This window comes from Homo sapiens, chromosome 7 (genome assembly GCF_000001405.40).
Source record: "Homo sapiens chromosome 7, GRCh38.p14 Primary Assembly".
Taxonomy (NCBI): Eukaryota; Metazoa; Chordata; class Mammalia; order Primates; family Hominidae; genus Homo; species Homo sapiens.
Genome location: NC_000007.14, coordinates 26,412,022 through 26,435,743, shown reverse-complemented (window position 1 = coordinate 26,435,743; position 23,722 = coordinate 26,412,022). Strand labels below are relative to the sequence as shown.

Here is a 23,722-nt window from a genome sequence, read left to right as displayed (position 1 = left end):
GAATAAGAGAGAGACAGAGAGAGAGAGAGAGAGATGCCACAATCCCTTTTATAGCCCAAAGTCCTCCAAATCTTGGACATCAGACACCATCACTTCCTGTACATTCAACTCATTAAAAGTTACTAAGTACAGCCCACACTTAAAGGGATGGCAATTTGGTCCTATCTGTTGAAGGAAGAAATATGGAAGAATGGATAGGAGCTTTGCAGAGAAGTGGAAAGAGAGAGCTAGCTAGCTAGCTAGGCAAAAAAGGATAGCATGCCCATGTGTGGAAGACCATGGGTCCCAGGAAAAGTGAGGGGTTCACTATAGGTTTTCAACTTATTTCCACCTTTCAATTAGACAAAATCTTACAAGGAAGCCTAGTATACAACACAAATAAAAATAGCTCTGCTATGGCTGAAGCTATGTGAAGGAGAAGAGGCCGGAACTCCACCCCAAGGTGGCCTTTATAAGAACCCACTGCAGGTCCTAGAACTTCACAGAGTCAGCTGGAAACCATTGCTATATGCAATAGCTATGAGTGCTTATCTATAGGTACAAGCCATACTCTCTGTTAAGCTTTATCTGATCATGTAACAAATTATGCTCTTATCTTAACTGTGGGCTGAAACCAAATAAAAAACACACAAAAATTCTCATTAAAAAGAGAGTAGGGATCTTGTTGAAATGCAAGAAAATCTCAACGTACCAACCGGTTATATTCCAAGAGTTCACTTGTAAGAGGGTTCTTTAGAACTCTGTGTATCAGTTAGTTAAGACCAAAAAGATGTTGTGTAACAAACGATCTCAAAAAACAGAGTGACTTAAAACAACTATCATTTGTTCTCACATATCTGCACATAGGCTGGAGATCAGGTTATTTAAGCTGGTACTGGACTTCACAGCTCTGCTTCAAGTTGCAGGTCAGCTAAAGGGGTAACAGCTACCTATGGAAAGCTTAGCTCATGGAGATGGCAGAAACACAAAGGAGGACAAGAGGACAAGCAGAGAAAGACAAAGCCTCTTAAGGCCTGAGATCAGGACTGGCACACTTTTGCCCACATGTGGTTGGCCAAAACAAGTTTCATAGATGGGCCAAAGACAAGGGTTAGGAAAATATACTTTGCTCAATTGAGGCTAAAGCAAAGGGGTAAAGAATTGGAGCCAATTATTCAATCTACTACATTCTGAATGCATTTTTCCATAAAAACAAATTTCAAGTCATAGTTGAATATCATATTAGCTCTCCAAAACCAACTTAATGTTAAGAGAAATAACAATAACAGCCTAGCATCAGGTGATGCTGGCACATTTTTAAGTAAGCCAAATTTGTCTTCCCAGCTCTCTTTCTTCACCCGCTTTCAACAATGCTCATATCTCTCTCCATGAGCTCAGCATCTTCATGGTTGCTCTAACCCCTCACCTCTGTGTCACTCATCCCTCACTTCCCTCCCCTCAATTGTTTCAGCCCCTAAATTCAGAACTCTGGATCCCTCAATGTAGACCCTCCCAGTTGGCTGCCAAAAGGAAAACCATCTGATTAAATCAACTTACGCTCACATGTAAATGGCCCAATGCTTCTTTACAGTCTCTAAAACAGTTGCCTTTTTAAAGGGGGCTGTCCCACAGCCCAGTAATCCTCCCACTAGTGAGATGTGAGATAGTAAATACATTGATGAAATCCTTAAAGTCAGGAATATTCTTAGAAAAGGGGAATATGTCTTAGGCAGGTCTGCCTGTTACTCTCATGTTGTGAAGAAAGTGTCATTTATACACGTGAAGCCTGCTGTATTGACTTTATTACTCCCACTTCCAATATTTTCTTTCCCACTCTGTACTTCTGTGAGGAATTGAATTCACCAGGAGAAGACAAATGTCAGAGTTATGATTTACATCTCATTACAGGGCAAGTGTTGTTTCCCATTTTGGAATTTATTCTTCAGGCCAAATCTTTAAAGACTTTCTTTTTTTTCTTTCAACATTAAAATGGCATATTTCAGCATGAAATATGCCTACTCTGGCTTAGGAAGAGCTTAATTATTTGGACTTTGTATTGAGTTTTCATGTAAATATTTCTGTTTTAAACAAACAAACAAATTATTATCCTGAGAACATTGCTATGAATCATAATAATGTGTTTACTTTTAAAGACAGATCATAAAGAAAGATTCCAAGTATTAAGTTTTAGTAACACCACTTTTCTACCCTGTTCAAATGTATGTCTACACAGACAAAAAGGGAAGAGGAAAATTGTGAATTAGAGATACCACGTAAATGACTAATCTGAAAAATATGGACCAAAAAATATAGTTTTATTGATCCTAAGGTATAAATATACATATGGTTCTTCATTTCTGCTGATGTTTTCCATGACAAAAATAGCTATGCCTATATGCCTATGACAATATTATTATGTTATATTTTAGTCATTTTGAACAACCTTTGAAATAGTTAATATCCTCCCCCATCACTTTGCCCAAAAAACAATGGTACCTATCATTAGCTATGTGAAGATGAGCTGTTACGAAAAGTTATTTCTCTTCCAGTCTTGTCAAGTGCCAGTAACCATAACATTGATTTCAGGTAGATTACGTTAAGTTAGGATTTGAGAAGTTTTGGTTTAAGAACACCTCACATTTTTTTTTTACATTAGCCAAAGTGGTCATCCAAATTCCATGCTATCCGAGAAAGAATGCTTTTCCCTTGCTTCTTAAGAATCAAATTGTGATGAAATCTAAATACAATCAAAACTCTCAGTGAAGAGAGCTGTAAAATAGAGTGTGTAATAAGGAGTATGATTAGAAAAGTAAGTCCCCCACTTCAAATGGCAGAGTGACCAGTCATCCATCAGTCATGTAGCTGCTCTTATTACTGGTTCATTTAGCATGAACTCATAAGCGATTGGCTAAAATGAAGCAAGGACAATGTATAGGTGAATCAAAATACCACATTGTATGCCACAAATGTATTCAATTACCATTTGTCAATTAAAAAGAAAATAAAATTAAAAGATAAAGTCCATGAATGGTAATGCCAAGAAAAACTAAATTAAAATTTTTAACGAAGCATGTAGTTCAGAGCAACCACTCAAATTCCAGCTTCGACATTTATCAGCCATAACTTAAGCAAGTTTCTTAACCTCTCTGTGTTTCAGTTTCTTTACCTGCTAAGTGGAGATTACAGTACAAATCTCTTAGAGTAATTGTAAAGATTGAATGAGTCTTTACTATGTGCCAGGCACTGTGCCAGATGTGTGAACTGTTCAGAACAGTGCCTGGCACATATTAAGCACTATGGGTTTGTTGTTCTTGTCCTGGTCATTGTTATTATGGTAATCATCATTATGTCATTGTGATTACGGTAATCATCACCACCATCATCATTGTCTGTGGATTTCTGTTAGCCATGCAGTCTCTCTTTCCTATTAACTTTTCCTCTTAGTTGCGAGGAGTTGAATCAGCTCATAGTTGATAAAAATTTCTTGAGTTCCTTCATGAACATTGCTGTTGGGAGTACAGATTGGACTAAGATCTTGGCAAGATCTAATAAAGTTGAAGACACCCCTTTCTTATGAGCTAGCAATGCTACTCTCAGGCAAATACAATGGAGAAACTCCTAGATCTGTGTACCAAAAGACATTTATATTAGAATATTCATGGCAATGTGGTTTGTAATTTAAAAAATGGAGACATCTAGATGATGATCAGTAAGAGAATGGATAAGTCTTAGAGTAATCATACAACAAAATAGCAAACCGTAGTGATAATGAATAAAATAGGTTATAAGTATCAACTTGAACAAATCTCACAAACATAATATTAGGTGAAGAAAACCAATTCATAGAATATATCAGTATAATTCCAATTGCATATGGTTCAAATACACGCAAAATTTGTTTTTAAAAAGCGGAAGGACAATATGCACAAAATCATGATAGTGGTTACCTTGGGACTAAGAGGGGTATTATTGGAGTTTCAATGATAGGAATTATATATTTCTTTTTTTTTAGACAAAGTCTCACTCTGTCACCTAGGTTGGCATGCAACGGCATGAACTCGGCTCACTGCAACCTCTGCGTTCGGGGTTCAAGCAATTCTCCTGCCTCAGCCTCCTGAGTAGCTGGGATTACAGGTGCACACCACCACAGTCAGTTACTTTTTGTATTTTTAGTAGAGACGGGGTTTCGCCATGTTGGTCAGGCTAGTTTCACCCTCCTTGGCCTCCCAAAGCACTGGAATTACAAGCATGAGCCACCACACCTGGCCAGTAATTACATATTTCTTAATTTAGGTGGGTAGATACATAGACATCCATTTTATTGCAAAGTCTTAAAATTCATATATATTATGAGTTGGTAAGTATGTTAACATTTTATTCAAAAGTTATTCATTGAAGAAAAAAATGAATAAAAGCACCCCCATTTCTCTCAGGTGGCACTTGCAGCCCCAGTTTCTCATCTTCAGTGTGCCAGGGCACTATTCTGTGAGTATTTCTCTTCAGGGATTTGCAGTGGGATTAGGTCATGAGATGTTCTGCCTCTATTGACATTTTTTTTTTTAAATTTAGAAATGCAATATCATGCCAAAATGATATGGATGCCTCTTCTCACAAACATTACTCTACCTGTTACCTCACACAGCAGGAGGTGGGTTTGCTTTCCCTATTTGACAAAAAAGAAATGGAAGCACAACCATGAGCCTATTACCCAACTGTTATGGCCACTCTGGTGCCTGGAAGCATCAACATGTCCTGCTTTCTTCAGATGGCTTCTCTTCTGTTTTCTCTCATTCACCACCTTTGCTGCTATAAAACATCAGCAAGTTCTTTTGGAAGTTGGAGAACTATAAATCTTAAATTTAAAAAACAATAAGGGAACGACACCTCTGGGATTAAAACCCACCTCTCCTGATTACAGGTTCCGTAACTGAACATCCTGTAAATGGGATTTCAATCCATACGTGGTGTTCATTATGCACCAACATGCAAGATGAGTGCTGGGGAGCAAGAATTGAACCACTGAACGCTCCAGCCCAGGACCCGATGTAATAATGGAAGTGAGTCCTCAGTGAAGGCCACAGACACCCAGCCACTGGCCCCTCCCATGCAGCCACCCAGGGCTTTTCTTTGCATTATTTATTTATTTCTAAGACTTAGGGGTGGAGAGGAAAGAGGAAGAAAAGGAAGTGATTTTTCTTCTCAATAGGCTTGCTCTTCTTGCTCTGGGTAGAATCAATGCAAGTGGGATTGAACTCATTCCCTAATATCCCCTTCCCTCCAAACTGCTTCCTTCCATTGTAAATAATTCAGACAAAATAAAATAATCATGTGCTGGTAATTACCACTACCCCTACCCCAAAAACAAATGCTTGCTGAAATGCCGCCCTTCTGATGTTGCAGCGACCGTGCCTGGGACCACCGTGATGGCGAGTTGAAGCTGAGATGTGTGGTGTGCAAAGGTGAGGGCAGGAGGGCTGTTTGGTCGTCTTTCCTGAGCAGAACGGCACTGAAATGCTACCACTGTGCCTCCCTGGAAATGGCTGGCGCTCTGCAAAGGGGCCTGGAAACAGCACAAATTTTAAGAGGCTGCTCTAAACCCAATTCCCCTTATTTTTCATTCTGATTTCCATATTTCTATCTTTGTGTATGAGAAGAAAGCTTTGACAGGCACCTCTAAGACACACGCAGGCACATACACACAAACACACAAGTATGCCTTTTCTCCTAGCTCATCTCTTCATATAATTTTTATTTAATGGGTTTATTTCTTCATACAAACACCTTGCTCACCTGTGCGCACCTCATTAACTGGAATCTTTAGGAGAGGAGTAAATGGTTGTTTTGCTTCAAAACATCAATAAAGTTCAGGGAGAGATGGCACAATGTACAATATGAGAATTAACATTGTCGATCCTGTAGAACAAAATGGTGGCAACTCACCAAAAAAGCAGGGAAGAAAAGGCTCCCCCAACAAAACAACACATGTGAGCAGAATAGGCTGTGTGGTAAAAGGCATCTCATTTGGGTACTGGTAATTTACGCAGAGATCTCTGCTTTTTGTTCTTTGCAAAAAGATTCTCCACAGACTCATCATCTTCATGGAGAATTAAAGAAGCTATAAACAATAATTTAGAAAACAGCATGGATAGGACTGTTATGATCCCAGCTTGTTATTGATACTTGGCATGTGGCCTTTAAATAAGATGCTGGAAATAAAGAGACTGAACTCACACACATGTAGACAGAATCTTGGCTCTTCCTTCTTGCCCTCAGTCACGCCTCTGAAGCCAGTGGGGAAGGCCCTGGGGAGCAGAGGGAAGTGGTCTTCGAAGCCCAAGTGTTCTCCAGGCTGCCCCAGTAGAATGGGAGAAGTCCATTCCTCTCTATGACTCATTCTTTTGTCATAGTCAACAGTGGCAGAAAGAAGAGTTTCTAAATTCGACCTGTCCAGTATGCTGGCCACTAGCTATGTGTGGCTATTGACACTTAATTAAAGCTAAAAAAAAAATTCAGTTCCTCAGTCACACTGGCCACATTTCAAGTGCTCAATAGCCACACGTGGCTAGTAGTTGCCGTATTGAATGGTGCAGACATAGAACATTCCATCATCTTAGAAAGCTCTATTGGACAAGGCTGCTCTAATGTCAACACACTGGAGAAATTTAGCAGGTGTGCTGAGCATCTAGGGAAAGTCTTTCTGAAGACAAGGTGTATTAGTCCATTTTCATACTGCTATAAAGAACTGCCCCAGACTGGGTAATTTATAAAGAAAGAGGTTTAATTTACTCACAGTTCAGCATGGCAGGGGAGGCCTCAGGAGACTTACAATCATGGCGGAAGGTGAAAGGGGAAGCAAGGTCTCTTCTTCACAAGGCAGCAGGAAGAAGAAGTGCCGAGTAAAGTGGGAAGAGCCCCTTATAAAACCATCAGATCTCGTGGGAACTCACTCACTATCACAAGAACAGCATGGAGGATGCCCTCATGATCCAATTACTTCCACCTGGTCTCTCCCTTGACATGTGGGGATTATGGGGATTACAATTCAAGATGAGATTTGGGTGAGGCACAATACCTAACCATATCAGAAGGGCATTAAAGGAATCCAACACTAAGTCACTTCCACATTTGGAAGTGGAATTTATTTGACTGTAAAAATAAGTAAATACACATGGGAAATAGGTGCAACACCCAGGGTTTAAAAAATCCTGCTTCTACCCCTTAATAAGCCTTAAGATATAACAGCAGGACATTTTCAAGTGTTTAGTAAATATATCTCTCAGTTTGGTTAATTTTCCCCTTCTATTTAATTGCTAACATGAGGAAGTTTTTGGAGAGAGAAAAAAGACCATATTCTGGGTGAAATTTTTTAATATTCTAAACAGAGAGTAGTAATTGCAATGAAAATATTTTAAAATTGTATTAAAATATTGCAAAATAGATTATGTGGAATAAATTCCAAAATATCAACATTTTATGAAAAGCCAAGATATGGTTCCTATGACTGTTCCACCAGCAAGAGGATCAGGGCCAGGCCTGAGGTTTTCTGTTCCCCACCTTCACCTCTGATTCTAAGGTGACTCCATCAGGGGCCAGAAACTGGGGCTGAATCTAGGGGTACAAATGACCCAGACAGAAAATGCCAGCCTCACAATTAACCCCGGAAGTGGGAAGAAAACCACTGGATGTACTGGAAGGGCTTTCAGCAGGGAGGGTGTGAGCCCAGGTGAACTCTTAATGCCGTGTATAACTCACTGGATATATTTCAAGATCAAAGCAATTCCTGGGCCAGGCATGGTGGCTCACACCTGTAATCCCAGCACTTTGGGAGGCCAAGGTGGGTGGATCACCTGAGGTCAGGAGCTTGAGACCAACCTGGCCAATATGGTGAAACCCCATCTCTACTAAAAATACAAAAAAAAAAATACCTGGGTGTAGTGGTGGGCTCCTGTAATCCCAGCTACTGGGGAGGCTGAGGCATAAGAATCACTTGAACCCAGGAGGTGGAGATTGCAGTGAGCTGAGATTGCACCACTGCACAGAGCAAGACTGCAAGACATGCATCTCAAAAAATGACAGAGCAAGACTGCATCTCAAAAAAAAAAAAGATATAAACAATTCTGGACCTCATATTTGTTAATGCCATACTTAAATATTAAAGTTACTGATATTTAAGTTATCAGTACTTAAATATTTTAGATATTTAGGTATCTAGTATTTTAGTTGTTTAGATACCTTAAATATCAGTATCTTAAATATTTAAGATACTGAAAAAATCAGTATTTTTACTTTAAAAATAGTATGGAATATAGAATATTAGTATATCTCATTTAGTATCACCATCACTAGGGGAAAAGAGGCATTCATGTTTCTTATTCTTATATTTGAATAAGAGCAGAAATTTCAAAAGCTCTCATCAGACATCCAGAATGTTCTCATTGGTTTCAAATGCTATTTATCCAGAGTCCTTATTTATTTTATTTTATTTTATTTTATTTATTTATTTTTGAGATGGAGTCTCACTGTCACCAGGCTGGAGTGCAGCGATGTGATTTGGCTCACTGCAATCTCTGCCTCCTGGGTTCAAATGATTCTCCTGCCTCAGCTTCCCGAGTAGCAGGGATTACAAGCATGTGCCACCACACCCAGCTAATTTTTATATTTTTAGTAGAGACGGGGGTTTCACCATGTTGGTGAGGCTGGTCTCGAACTCCTGACCTCAGGTGATCTGCTTGCCTCTGCCACCCAAGGTGCTAGGATTACAGGCATGAGCCACCACGCCCAGCCCAGAGTCTCTTTTTAAAGAGACTCTTTTTAAAGAGACTCTGGTATCTGGCATGACTTGTGTTTACCTTGATTTTCCACCTCAGTATCCCAGACATTTGTTCAATCATTCTTTGTTCATCCACTCTTTATGCCTTTGTTCATCCACACAAGCTTTTTTTTCTTTTCTACAGAGCCACACTGAGCACCTGCTATACGTAGGGCACTAAGGGTGATGCTGTGGCGGACAAAAAGATCCGTCTGAAATCACCCCCGCTAGCCAGGTAGGTGAGATGCTCCTTCCTGCGTTCATCAGTCACTTTCCCAGCCAGTGCTCACACTGAGAATTGCCATGTGCCAGCACTACGCTAGGGTTTGATAAACTTTCTTTTAAGGTTTTGCAGTCTCAAAGGAAAAGAAAAAAAGCATGATTATTACCATAAAGGCAGTGCATGGTGAGGGCCATAAGAGAAGTACAGAGAGAGAAAGTGCTTGTGGATTTAAAGGCAAGGGAGCCAGGTCCAGCTGGGAAAACAGGACAGCCTCACAGCAGGGGTGGCATTTGAGCTGGACCCTGGAAAGGAATGTCACTGGAGGTGTGCCAAGTCAGAGAGACAAGAAAAAGGGGGCTACGTTTGGAGAACAAAAACCGGGTACCCCCGTTTAGCTGGATGACAAACTGAGGAAAGGGAAGTGGTAGGGGAAAAGGCTACAAAGGCAGGTCATAGGGGTGGCAGAGGATCTGAATGCCAGGTGGGGCCAGAAATACTCACACTGATACTGTCCCAGTTAACAGTGGAAGGCGGACTCCAGCGCCTGCTTGAACTGATGAAGGGCAGTCACTTTATCCATACTTGTAAATACTTAAGAGCCTCTGTCTATTAAACCCACTCTGTGATTGGTGCTCCACGTTATGGGAAGTAATTACGCCATCAGTTATAATGCCAGGCATCTACTTACATTCCAGCTTAGCTCCTCTACTTTCCTTAAATGTTTACCTGATGGTCCAATTCACCTTCAGAGTGATGGATCTTTTACAAAAGCCACACAATTACCCCAGGAAAGTGAAACAAAGGATTCATCCTCAATGAGCAGAGAGTTGGAGCATGTGGTGGAAAGAACCGTGGATTTGAAGCCAGAAGACAACTTAGGCCTGGTTATGTCATTTAGCAGCTGGGGACACTGGGCAAAGCATATGCATGCTCTGAACAGCAACTCCTTATCTTTCTATAAAATGGAGGGAGATAGTGATGTCTGCCCTCACTAAGCTACAAAACACTGGGAAAATAGAAACTATAATTATGCTTAGATAAGAGTTGAGAATAGTTAGCATTGATTCATCATCTGACAAAAATAAATCCAGGATTACTTTTTCTTTGTGAATAATGTACTTTTCCTCTTCAAAGTCCCAATATTCTTTCAAATATAAAGCTACTATTTCTTTGGTTAGCTTTTAAAAAAAAAATGAATACATAATAGTTGCACATATTTTAAAGCTACTATATATTTAAGAACAGTTTATATGCACATAGAGATTATATCTTCTGCTTTTTTCTGATTATTTCATTCCTAGTTTATTTGTTATTTAATTTGGGAAGTAGCAAATGATTTATTTTGTGATTTAAATTTTGAAACTGATTATGAATTTCTTGAGTACCTACTTACTGTGTGTTTAAAATCTTATTCCTGGCCAGGCAGTATACAGAAGCAATGTTGGACCTGGGCCCTAACCAGAAAGACATTACAATCTAATAAATTCCTTAAGGTAATTTATGTTGTTGCATTATGTATGGAATTAGAAAAACAAAATAAAAGAATAACTGTAAGTACAATAGCAGTTGAGACTACCTATGCTTGGGAGTATAGAAAAAGAGAGAGTTCATCCAGGCAACCTACAGAATGGGAGAAAATTTTTACAATCTACCCATCTGACAAAGGGCTAATATCCAGAATCTACAAAGAACTTAAACAAATTTACAAGAAAAAAATCAAACAACCCCATCAAAAAGTGGGCAAAGGATATAAACAGACACTTCTCAAAAGAAGACATTTATGCAGCCAAGAGACACATGAAAAAATGCTCATCATCACTGACAATCAGAGAAATGCAAATCAAAACCACAATGAGATACCATCTCACACCAGTTAGAATGGCGATCATTAAAAAGTCAGGAAACAACAGGTGCTGGAGAGGATGTGGAGAAATAGGAACAGTTTTACACTGTTGGTGGGACTGTAAACTAGTTCAACCATTGTGGAAGACAGTGTGGTGATTCCTCAACGATCTAGAACTAGAAATACTGTTTGACCCAGCCATCCCATTACTGGGTATATACCCAAAGGATTATAAATCATGTTGCTATAAAGAGACATGTATATGTATGTTTATTGCAGCACTATTCACAATAGCAAAGACTTGGAACCAAATGTCCATCAATGATAGACTGGATTAAGAAAATGTGGCACATATATACCATGGAATACTATGCAGCCATAAAAAAGGATGAGTTCATGTCCTTTGTAGGGACATGGATGAAACTGGAAACCATCATTCTCAGCAAACTATTGCAAGGACAGAAAACCAAACACTGCATGTTCTCACTCATAGGTGGGAATTGAACAATGAGAACACTTGGACAAAGGGCAGGGAATATTACACACTGGGGCCTGTTGTGGGGTGGGGCGAGGGGGAAGGCATAGCATTAGGAGATATACCTAATGTAAATGACCAGTTAATGGGTGCAGCACACCAACATGACACATGTATACATACGTAAAAACCTGTACGTTGTGCACATGTACCCTAGAACTTAAAGTATAATAAAAAATTTTAAAAAAATAAAAATTAAAAAAATTTAAAATTAAAAAAGAAAAAGAGAGAGTTCATCAAAGGCAGGAGTGGCTGGGAAGCCTTTCTGCAGTGAGTGAGTTTCAGGAAGGCTTCCTGCAGCAGGTGAGCTCCAGGTGAGCCCTGACAGCCAACCAGGGTTGAGTGGAGTGGAGGGCAACCAGGACACTGAGAAGTTGTGGTAATGGTTAGAAATGGTACGGGACTTGAGGGACAATGAGAAAAATGACAATGTCTAGTGGAGAGAAATGTTGGAGAGTCCAGGGAAATTAGACTGGGTCAGATTATGAAGGACTCAGAATTTTATCTCTGTTCAACAGATGCCTTTTGACAATTTATACTATTTGGGGCCACTCACTGCAGTGGATAGACCATAAGTAAGATACTCTCTCTACTTCAAGACACTAGTTGTCTGGAACAGAGGACTAAGTCTCTTGAGAATTAACTATTTACAGCCACCAGTGTAAATAGGAACTGAGCTGAGGAACCTCCTGGGGAAAAACCAAACAAACAAGTCAATCAACTTGAACTTTGTTTTCATAGCTGTTGGTCAGACAATTGCATACATGTCTCAAGGCACCAGAAGCCAGGTTGTGAGAGAGATGAGAGATGGTAGGAGAGAGTTCGCCATGTGGCATGGGGTCTGGCAGGACAAGCCACTCTTTGCAGAGGGCCTGAGAGCCAGACATGAGTGGTGATCTTGGAAAACTGGCAGGCCTGGTACCTGGAGCACCTGCCTCAGCTAAGCTGATGGTGTCTACATACCTGTGTAGGAACTGAGGGGGGGGTCTCAAAACAATTCTATAACACCTCAGTGTGCAAAATAGTGTTCTAAGACCCCACTCGTACTGTGGAGGGAGCATTCTCACTTTGGGAGACCACCAAGCAGTCATAGCCCTCATGAAACTGAATCAGATCAGTCGGGGCAAGCCAATCTTTCAATATCTGCACTTAAGCAAGGAAAGAGGGCCCAGAAAGCAGGCCAGAGAGAGGCAACATAGGCCAGAAGTATTATGCTAGATTAGATACATCCACAAACAAATGTACTGCATCCCCACCGCCCTGACTTTTGGGCTTGGTCAAGTGAATTGCTTGGACTAACAGGATGTTAGCAGGCAGGACGCAAGCTTAGGCTACAATGTGCTTGTGTAGTGGCGCCTGCCCTCTTGAGTTTCTGTTCTCACCTTGAGAAGACTGTGTCCCAGTTAGATCCTTGATCTGAGAAAGAGCAGACCCAGACCTGCAGGATGAAGCAGAGCCGACCCTGGCCAGCCTGCAGATGCATGAGAATAACTAACATAGTATATAATTCACACAAACTGGGAATCCAAGTCACACAAACTGGAATCCCACATTCCACAAACTGGGATTGTCTCCGCCTGCCTTACTGAATGCACTTATCAATAAAGAAGTTATTCACAATAAGAAACTGTGAAGAAGGACCCCACACAAAGAAAAGTTGTTTTGTTTTGTTTTTCCATCAAAAGCTATGGTTTACTCAAGCTTTGGCCAAAATCAAGCATAACTGTGTAAGATAAAAAGTTCAAATTAACCCAGACTACAGGCTTGGTTCTGCAGTAGAAGCTTCTGGAGCTTATGCAGTATTTTTTCTTTCAGTGCATCTTTCCCTTTGTTTAACTTTTTATCTTGAAATAACTTTAAGAAAGTTGCAAAAATAGTACAGACAGTTCTGTATTCCTTCACCCAGCTTCTCCCAAAGCTCATATCTTACACAATCATAGTTTCTGTATTAGGCCATTTTTGCATTGCTATTAAAAAAATACTCGAGGGTGGAAGCGGTGGCTCACGCCTGTAATCCCAACACTTCGGGAGGCTCAGGCAGGTGAATCACCTGAGGTCAGGAATTCGAGACCAGCCTGGTCAACATGGTGAAACCACATCTCTACTAAAAATACAAAAATTAGCCTGGCGTGGTGGTACGCGCCTGTAGTCCCAGTTACTCGGGAGGCTGAGGCAGAAGAATCACTTGAACCCAGGAGGCAGAGGTTGCAGTGAGCTGAGATTGGGCCATTGCACTCCAGTCTGGGCAACAAGAGTGAAACTCCATCTCAAAAAAAAAAAAAAAAAAAAAAATACTTGAGACTGGGTAATTTATAAAGAAAAGAGGTTTAATTGGCTCACAGTTCTGCAGGTTTTGCCGGAAGCATGGTGCTGGCATCTGCTTCTGGTGAGGCCTCAGGAAGTTTAAAATCATGGCGGAGTGCAGCAGGGAGCCAGCATGTCACATGGCGAGAGTGGGAGCATGAAAAAAAGAAGACCAATGTCCCAGAGTCTTTTAAACAACCAGATCTCTCATGAATTAATTGAACAAGAACCTACTCATCATCCGGGGGATGGTGCTAAGTCACTCACGAGGGATCCCCTCCCATGAGCCAATCGCCTCCCACCAGACCCCACCTCCAATACTGGGAATCATATTTCAACATGAGATTTGGAGGGGCCAAAGCATCCTGACTATATGAGTATCATTACCAAAGCCAGGAATTTAACTGGTACAGTACTACTGACTAAGCCTCAGACTTCATTTGCATTTCACCAGTTTTTCTACTAACTTCTTTCATCCAGCTTCCTACTAACTTCCTTTTTCTGTTGTAGGATTCAATCCAGAATCCCACACTATTTTGTCTCTTTAGTCTCTTCCAGTCTGTACCAGGTCTTTAGTCTTCCTTGACGTTTATGACCTTGACACTTTGAAAGAGTACTGGCCAGTTAGTGTGTAGAACAGGTTTGTCTGCTGTTTATTCATGACTAGAGTGAGATTATACATTTTTAGTAAGAACGCCACAAAAATGACGTGTGCCCTTCTCAGTGCATCGTGTCTGGGGAAGGGGCCGGGGGTCTGGGGGACACCATCTGGTTACTAGTGAAGTTAACCTTGATCACTTGGTTAAGGGGCTATCTGTTGGGTTTCACCATTGTAATGGTAGTGTTTTTGTTTTGTAATTAATACATATCTTGGGAAAGATACTTTGAAGCTATGCAAATATCCTGTTTCTCCTCAAACCTTCACCACTGATTTTAGCATTCAATGGTGGAATTTGCCTGCAACAATTATTACTGTGGCATCTGTCTAATAGTAGCTCACACATCTGAACCTAGAGGGAAGCAGCTAATGAGCCATCCCTTCGCTTCACAACCCCAACCTAACCAATAATGAGATGTGAACTAGTGCAAAGGGGTAAGAAATGTCCAGTTCCTGAAACTAAGGAGTCTTAGCCACTGTTTCTGGGCTGCTTTGCGGGGTTGAGTGAACAGCAGTTGACAGATTTTGCTTAGAAGGCAAAGAGGAGAACAGCTGGGGAGCACAACCAACTTCCATGCTAATCAAGGTGAATAAAGCCATGACGTAGAACAGAAAACCACAGGACTCTGTTTAACACAACGAGGGATTCAACTTTTTCAGCCAACTACCTTGTTTTCCATTTGTAATTAGAGTCACAAAGCAATAGCCTCCTCCTGTGCTACCCCACAAGCAGAGCCCCAGACAACATCCTCATTTTCAATAACTCTTCCCCTTTATCTCACTCTGCCTGATGCTTAATAAGCTATTTACTTTGGACCAACAGCTAATCTGTTAATAACTGATTTTAAATTTTTACAGTCATTTGTCTCTGGCAGGACCTGGGACCACGAAAAGCAGTCCTTTCCTACCTGATGAATTGGCTTTTTCTTTAGCAAAAAAAAGAAAGAAGAAAAGAAAAGAGAAAAATTTAACTCAAAAGTCTTCATGGTTGCATTCTGCTGACAATTGGCATTCAATAAGAAATTTCAATGCAAAAAAAGAAATGGTAATGCTTCCTGTGAAATTTATCTGCCTGTGAAATCGTCAGCAAATAATATAAGTGGACGTTTTTCTAATGGTGGCATGGGGTAAAGACCCTCTTCAATATGAAGTAAAGTGTAATTGTACTATAAATTTACAGAGCCTAAAATTCTTAATTAACAAAATTGATGCTCATTGCCTGACTGGAATGGGATATCTAAACTAATGCCATTACAGCCCTTTAAAATGATCTAAATTGCATACCATATGATATATGTATTTTTGTAGGCTATATGCAGAAAAGTGAATTTTGCTTTCCATTAAAAAAAAAGACAATTGAATCGACAATGGTTATTGTAATTGGTATCACACAGCAGTGCTCTGCAATTTAATCACTGCTTCTAAAAATGGAACCGTGGATAACTACTGTGTTCTGAAAAGTGGCGGCCACCCCGTGCATGAGAGTGCTGTGCGCATTTATAAACACCGCCTCTTCCACGAAGTTAAGCTTTCCTAAGAGATGCCATCTCTAATTTTGTAAATAAGAATGACCCCCCAAGGCTAGCATTCCCATCAAATATTTATTAAAACGCACCCCAAGACCTCTCATCTCAAACTGGAATTAAACTCCTCCAAATGTCTCTGAAAGATGAGCGTGATTTAAAACGTGAACCAGCACACTGACGAAGTGAAAAAGAGGGACTCTGGGCAAAGTGGTATTTTGGTATCCGTAAGTGGTGTCAGGTCTTCCTGGAGAGCTAGTATTATAAATTAACAGATGAGACATTGTGCAGAGCCTCTAAAAGGAAAGGCTAAACTGTTTGAAGGATAAAAGCCCTAATCTTATTAATATTTTAGATCCTGCAAGACATTGAGGCTCCATCTGCTGTCAGTAATACCTGAGAAAGAATCAAGGCAGCTGGAGGACAGAAACCACGGCCTCCCAATGGTCTGCTGACCTTCTTGAGAGGCAGATATCATGTGACAGCAATTGCCTGTCTCAGCAGACATGCTGGAAACAGGAGAAAGTGTTAAATATAACCAGGTAGACAGTGATGAATTGACATGCTGAAAAATCGAACGCTTCAGTAATCAGCCTAAGGATCTGATATCAACAACATTTTTCAGTTTTGTCCAAATTCATTGAAAGGTGTACTTTAGCAAGTTCACTTCTCATTGGTAAGACCTTTCATCTTTATGCTGCTTTTCTGATTGGATTCAGTGTCATGATCGGTTTGGGTGGCTCTGTGCGCAGAAAGCAGACGGGCTGCTTGTGAGAGAAGGAGGGCTGGGATGAGCACAAATAAAAATGGGTTTTACCCCAACATTAATTTTAAAACTATTAAATATCTATCAAAATGCTTATTTAGAAAGAATTATTGAAGCCATGGTATATGAAAATGCATCAGGTACTGTGCTCCAACAGCACAGTAAACCTGAAATATTGAAATATTACCCTCTATTTTGCAGCAAGAAGCTTCTATAACTATAATTCTAATTACAGAACTCTAATTAATGTCTATGTGGCTTCAGATAACTTCATTAAATCTTTAGAATATTTATATTCTCCAAAGACAATCTCTATCCGTTAGAATAAAAAAATCCTATAAAATAACTTTTTTTAAACGCTGCTGATACGCCTTTCTTTTTATGAGACATGTAAGTCATAAAATTTACTTTAAGGTTTCATTCATCTCTGTAACAGTATTCCAAAAATGTGTTAACTCAAAAACACTTTTTTTCCTGGTACAAATGTATAATACAGCTATCAGCTGAGATCACTCTCTGCTTTGAGGTTTAAACAAAAACTGGCTGAAGCCTCCTTCCCACATCCTGTGAAGGGCCAATGTCTTCCCCTAGATGTCTGAGAATTCCTGACAGCTTATATTCTCATGGTCACTTCCCTATCTCCAGTGGCTTCTTTTGGCTGGATTCTTGACCTCACTTGTGTCTCGTCTCCCATAGCTGCCCCATGCCAACCTAGATTTTGAATGTAACCCCTTTTACTTGATTTATCCCTCCACCCCCAGAAAACCCCTCAGTTCTCGTGAAGCACAGTCTTTCCATCTGCTTAAGGCTCTCATTAGGTCCCAGGGTCTGCCGCCATCTTGCCTTCTCACTCACTTCAACCCTCTCCTCTCTTATTTCTCCTCTGCTCTCCACCCGCCCCCAAATTCCTGTAAACATCTTCCACAGAGTAGTGTGCTCTCTCTCAGTCTAGCTCCAGACTGTCCAGGCTATCTCCTGAGGGCCTTATCTTCATAGCCAAATGCTTCCGTTAAGGTGGCAGGCAGTCTCCTCCCTGAAAGGAATTGTTGGCTGGCTCGTAAAGTAACACCATTTTCCTCTAGGCTCCCCATATATTACAAGCAAGATCTGACTCATTCCTGCAAATACTCAGGAAAAGAAACACAAAGGACAACTGATTTTGTGATAAGCACTATAGGAAAGCATGGAAAGTCTACAACAGATAGGAATATAAAGTCAGAAATTGGGTGCACTATAACTTGAGGCCAGGGCTTTGAAAGGATCCTGCTTTCAAATTCGCCCTGGTTGGGGTCAATAAAAGGATTGATTCATAGAAATGCCAGAGAGCCATGTTAAGCTGGTCATGAGCCTTCATCCTGATGTCTTCCTAGGAGTAAGCTCCTGGCTTTTCCCAGAAAGTTCAGTGTAGGGGCTCCATCAATAGTAGAACATAAATTGAGACAATGCCCTACTACTTGCATGGGTAGAAAAAATTCCAGGAACTGACAGCAAGTAAGTTGCTTTCCCTTCACTCCCAGCTTGAATATAGGAGATAAAAAAAAGTACCTCTCCAATATCCATACGATTCACACTGCTCAGAACTATGTGGATAATAACACAACATGTGACACACACCTACATTAGAAGAACAGCCTTAGAGTGTTAAAGCCTGGAATCCATCAACACAAATAGAGTGTGACTCGATTCATTAGCAAACTCAGACACAACCGGACCTCTATGGGGATAATTCATGCAGAAGAATTGTATTTTAAAATGTCTAAATAGGTTGCTATTTAGTGCAATTTTTTCCAGCTCTTAAAGCAAAGAAATGACAATTTCTAAACAAATGATAGAAGTTAAGTCAACTAAGTTCAAGCCTAAACAAACATTTTTATCTTAGTTCAATGCTATAAGTGTATATTCAATGTCTGTTATGTTTAACACAGTGGGAGGCAGAAGTGAGAATGCCCTTCAGTATACATTGAAATAAAACCATTGCAAACTGCCTCAGAAGGAATTGAGTAGTTAATTAATAAGCTTTTATTTAAATGTTGCAACCCATAAAACAATTCCTCTGCTACAATATGGCTGCTGTATTAGAGGCAAGCTGGGCAAAACTTCCCTGGGCATTGAAAAAAATGTTGCATTTCTAGGGACCTGGAAAGAAAGTGACTTGTCACAGGCTTTTTTGGGTTTTTTTGGGTTTTCTTGAGATGGAGTCTCACACTGTCACCCAGGCTAGAGTGCAGTGGTGCGATCTTGGCTAACTGCAACCTCTGCCTCCCAGGCTCACACCATTCTCCTGCCTCAGCCTCCCGAGTAGCTGGGACTACAGGCGCCCGCCACCACACCCGGCTAATTTTTTTATATTTTTTAGTAGAGACAGGGTTTCACCGTGTTAGCCAGGATGCTCTCGATCCTTGTGATCCACCCGCCTCAGCCTCCCAAAGTGCTGGGATTGAAGGCATGAGCCACCGTGCCCGGCCAACTTGCCACACACTTAATCATAATTGACTAAACAATTCCTTTGAATCATAACATGTATGATTCAATTTATTTATATCAAATTTATATATATGATATGTTATTAAAATAGTAAACATTTTTATAATATAATAAATACCAACCATGTTATATTACGGTACTGTCCACTGTTTCAGGAACTTAATGTATACTAATTCAAGTACTTATCACAACAACACTATAAGGTAGGTACTACTATTATTCCCATTTACAGATGGGAAACTGAGGCATGGAGAGATAGTATCTTACCCAAGGTTTACACAAATAACCACTGGCCAAGCTGGGGTGTGAACACAGGCAGTCTGGTTACCCAGGCTTCACGCTTGGCATCTGATGTGTCATATGCTGGTTCCACTAAATGTGGGCCCACAGCTGAACCTCAACAGTGTCATAGTAGCAGCACCAGAAACAAGGACAGGCTTCCTGTGGTCTGATTACCAAGTACCCTGAGCTCTGGAGATTCAAGAAAACCTCAGAAATTCAAACTAACTGCAGGAAGGGTAATGGCCAAATTAAGGGAATTTGCATTTCAAAGTATTTTAGACTATACTGGTGTGGTTAATTCCAAATGCATGTAGTGCCTTCAACCACAGGCCATTAAGTGTGCCAAGGATAGGTTCCAGGGGCTAGATTAAATAAATAGATATGTTTCGCACATGAGGTTTGATAAGCCAGAATATTAAAAATCATTTAACCCATTCCCTGTACTCCTACTTGGACTATCTGTTTCCTTTGTAAACCATTTCTCCCTTAAAAAGACCAGAGTAAACAACTAGCCTGGTCAAGTGAACTAGTACATGCAATGAATTAGGAGATGCATTAATGAGATTATTCTGCAACTGTTATGGTGGGTCTGAATCCCCAACTTAATCCATAAGCTATTATAGCACTGCAAATATAACTTATGCTACATCATCTTGCATTTAAGCACCCCCTTTTATTAGCCAGTTGTCAACTCTAAATACATTTGGGCTTGAATCAGGCAGCTGGGAAGGGTGTATTTTCTCCCCCAACTCCCAAAATGCAATTCCTTCTACACTTATTATTCCCAGTTCTTTATTTGCATATAACATAAACATTTACTGATTCACACACATACTTAATTAAACAAGTTTAATTTTTGCTTAATCTTTTTTTTTTTTTTTGAAACAGAGTCTTGCTCTCTCGCCCAGGCTGCAGTGCAGTGGCACGACCACGGTTCATTGCAGCCTCAACCTTCTGGGCTCAAGCAATCCTCCCACCTCAGCCTCCCAAGTAGCTGGGACCACAGGTTCACACCACCACACATGGCTAATTTTTTTATTTTTTTGTAGAGATGAGGTCTTGCTGTGTTGCCCAGGCTGATCTAAAACTTCTGGACTCAAGCAATCCTCCCGCCTTGGCCTCCCAAAATGCTGGGATTACAGGCCTGAGCCACCATTCCTGGCTCTTTTTTTTCTAAGACTCCAAAGAGTAGGTGGATCTGACATTCTTGGTTGCCCTCTCTTCTTCCTTTTTGACAAAGGCCAGAACTTTTTAGGTATTAACTTTCCCACACGTAACTCAGGGTTAATCCTTACTGGGCCAAGCTTGTGATTGCCTAAACCAGGAATAGGCAAGCGAACAAAAGTCAAGTAGAGGATTTTGGGAACAGATTTCTACATTCTTGAAAAGATACACAAGGAAGAGAGAGTCTCTCTCTGCTTCAACCTGATGTCACTGTCTATATGTGATGCCTGGAACTGCATCAACTGTTTATGACTCTGAGGGCAACCAGCCTGAGAAGGACAGGGTGGAAAGGTGGGAAGGACCTGGGCTAGAGATGATGCTTATGGGCCATGAAACTAACCACCCACAGAACCTCTCTACTTCCAGACTTCTCTGGTTTATGGAATAATCAATATCCTCTTTGGAGTCAGGGTTTTCTGTTGCTTAGAGTTGAAAATATCCTAAAGGAGACACCAAGAAATGTGAGTGTATAACTCATTTTAATTAATTTGTTCAACATATGTCAATAAAGCATCTACTGTCACCAGGCATTATTCTAGAACTTGGGATAGAGCAACAAATAAAATGGACAAATCTCTGGCTTTATGGAACATATATTCTAGTGAGGAATTCCCTTTGTACAATGCTTTGTAGAGTAGTCCCCCTTATTCTCAGATGAAATGTTACAAGACCCTCCAGTGGATGCCTGAAACCTGGGATTATAGCCAACCCTATATATACTATGTTTTTTCTGTATATATATATATATATATATATATATATATATATATATATATATGATAAAGTCTAATTTATAAATTAGGCACAGTAATTTATAAATTAAAGATAGTAAATTAACAACAATAAGTAAAATAAAATAGAACAACTACAACAATATGCCAGCATCACTGCTCTGCACTCTGGGGACATTAGTAAGTAAAATAAGAGTTCCCTGAAATAAGGCAAAATGAGATTCAAGGAACCCTTATTTTACGGTCCCCCAATCATCTCTCCTGGACAAAGTGATGATTCCCATCGTGGGTAGGACAGAGTGTGACAGCTTGAGGTTTCATCATGCTACTCAGAATGAAGCATGATTTAAAACTTATGAATTATTTATTTCTGGAATTTGGACCAAGGTTGACCATGGGTAACTGAAACCATGGAAAGCTCTGATAAGGGAGGACTACTGTACACTTAGCACAGCACTAAGAGGCAGAGAGAAGATCAGTGCTGGCAGGATGGAAAGAAAGTTGCATGTGTTATGCACTAGAACACTTTTCAGCGGCTCTCATTCAGTCACCATACTCACAGTGAGGTTGGTGTTACGGTCCCCATTTTACAGATGAGGACACTGGGGCTGAGGGGCCATAAGCAGCAGAGCCAGGATAAGAATCCAGATCCTCAAACACCAGCTCTGACCCTCTTTCTGCTCTCCCCCTCCATCAAGCCTGCAAGGTAGGGAGTGGGTCAATAGCAGTAGCAGAATGGGGGTCCCAATGTGCCAGGATGTTGACAGGACACGTCATGGATATACAGCTTCTCCCTGGGCTCAGGCCATTGTGTGCCCATGAGGACTGTAAACAGGACAGGGCAATAAAATTCAGGACAACCTCAAAAAGACAGACATCTGGCAACTGTGAGATAAACAGAGCTTTTGATGAGCTGGTGACAGTGCAGGAAGGAGTGGAGAGGGTGCTCTAAAGGGTCTGTGATTTCCTGGCCTGTCACCTCTAATCCAGGCTGCCCTGCAAGGGATGCGGTCCCAACCTGTGTAGAAGACAAACACCAGCTCCTGGATCACAAATAGGCTGATAAAAAGAGGGGAATGCTGCTTCACTCAAGAGCTTTGGGTTTTGCAATAATAACAAATAAAGGAACCCTTCCACAAACTGCTGCTTGCATGATGTTTAGTGACATAGTAATGGTAGCTTCTATTTACTGAGCACTTGATACATACCAGGCAATATGCCAAGTCCTTTCTCTGTAGGATCATATTATGAAGTTAATTCTATTGTTACTCCTGTTTTTGCAATTGAGGAAACCAATACACAGCGAGCTTTAGTAGTCTGGCAAAGGTCTCAAAGCAAATAAGAGGCAGCACTGGAGTTTCAACCATATCTGTCCCTTAACTACTATTTGCAACTCTTTGCTCTAAAGGTTTTAGGAGTTTCGTGCATCCTCCACTCTTCTCAGTACATCTCAGGTGTAGAACCAGTTGTTTGTTTTCTACAATTTACATGGGCTGAATCAGAATCCTAAAATGCCCACAGAGTCCCACTACGTAAAACTCATGACCTGATCTGTTCTATACACTGCAAGACCATCCCCTGACCACTTCTTGGATGCTACAGCAATGTCAAATTGCTATGAAGGTTTCTAAATATTTCCTCGTGATTTCTGTATTTGTCTCATTGTGGATGAGTAGCAAATTGTTCACAGACGGGCACTGGCCCAGAGACCACAGTTTGCACAGCCCTGATCTAGGATACTTAAACCTGCAGACCCCTCATCCTGAAAAGGCAAGAAGCCCCCTTAATAATGATGACTGTTTTTATGCACAGGCATATCTCAGAGAAGGAAAGCCCAACTTTCAAAAATCCAAAGGAAAAAAGGAAGCAAAGCCATCTATAAAAGGGTAGTTCACAGACCTAACAGTATCTTCCATGTTATAAACCAATAACTGTCCAACAGTGGGAGAACAGAAAAATAATTCCAGCCAGGGCATTCATCAGAATAGTATGCAGCCATTGGAGGGTATATTGGTCGGCTCAGGCTACCATAACAAAATACCATAGACTGGTATTTATAAACAGAAATGTACTTTCTGACGATTCTGGAAGTCCCAGATCGAAGCTCAGCACGGGAAGTTTCTGGTGAAGAATCTCTTCCTACCTTGAAGATGCCTGTGTATTCTCACTGCAGCTGAGTGTCTCTCTAGTGTCTCTTCCTAGAAAGATACAAATTGTGTCGAATCAGGGCCCCATCTATATCACCTCCTTTAACCTTAATCACTTCCATAAAGGCACGATATCCAAATACAGTCACATTTGTGCTTAGGGCTTCAACATATGGATTTTGGAGGGAACACAATTCAGTCCCTAACAGAGGGA

At 40.7% G+C, this 23,722-nt stretch overlaps 2 long non-coding RNA genes across 7 annotated transcripts in view, besides 1 other annotated feature; both read right to left on the bottom strand.

The window, feature by feature from the left end:
* LINC02981 (long intergenic non-protein coding RNA 2981) overlaps window positions 1-23,722 on the bottom strand; it is a 142,382-nt gene that overhangs the window by 105,207 nt on the left and 13,453 nt on the right. For 5 of the 6 annotated variants that reach the window (NR_148499.1, NR_148501.1, NR_148500.1 and 2 more), the window contains one exon: window positions 23,505-23,559. The exons of the other annotated variant lie outside the window; for it this stretch is intronic. This is a non-coding gene — a long non-coding RNA (long intergenic non-protein coding RNA 2981). The remainder of the gene's footprint in view (window positions 1-23,504; window positions 23,560-23,722) is intronic. 6 annotated transcript variants of the gene reach the window in all.
* Window positions 2,274-6,750, bottom strand: LOC105375202 (uncharacterized). The gene is made up of 3 exons (XR_927126.3): window positions 6,211-6,750; window positions 5,770-5,892; window positions 2,274-5,539 (listed from the first exon to the last, which is right to left on the bottom strand). It is a non-coding gene; the product is annotated as an uncharacterized LOC105375202 (long non-coding RNA).
* Window positions 19,412-19,967: an enhancer, noted in NCBI's record as "NANOG hESC enhancer chr7:26455397-26455952 (GRCh37/hg19 assembly coordinates)". NCBI's record gives its function as "activates a minimal SCP1, AML or CMV promoter by ChIP-STARR-seq in naive H9 embryonic stem cells {active_cell/tissue: H9 hESC(naive)}" and the evidence as "EXISTENCE:reporter gene assay evidence [ECO:0000049][PMID:30033119]".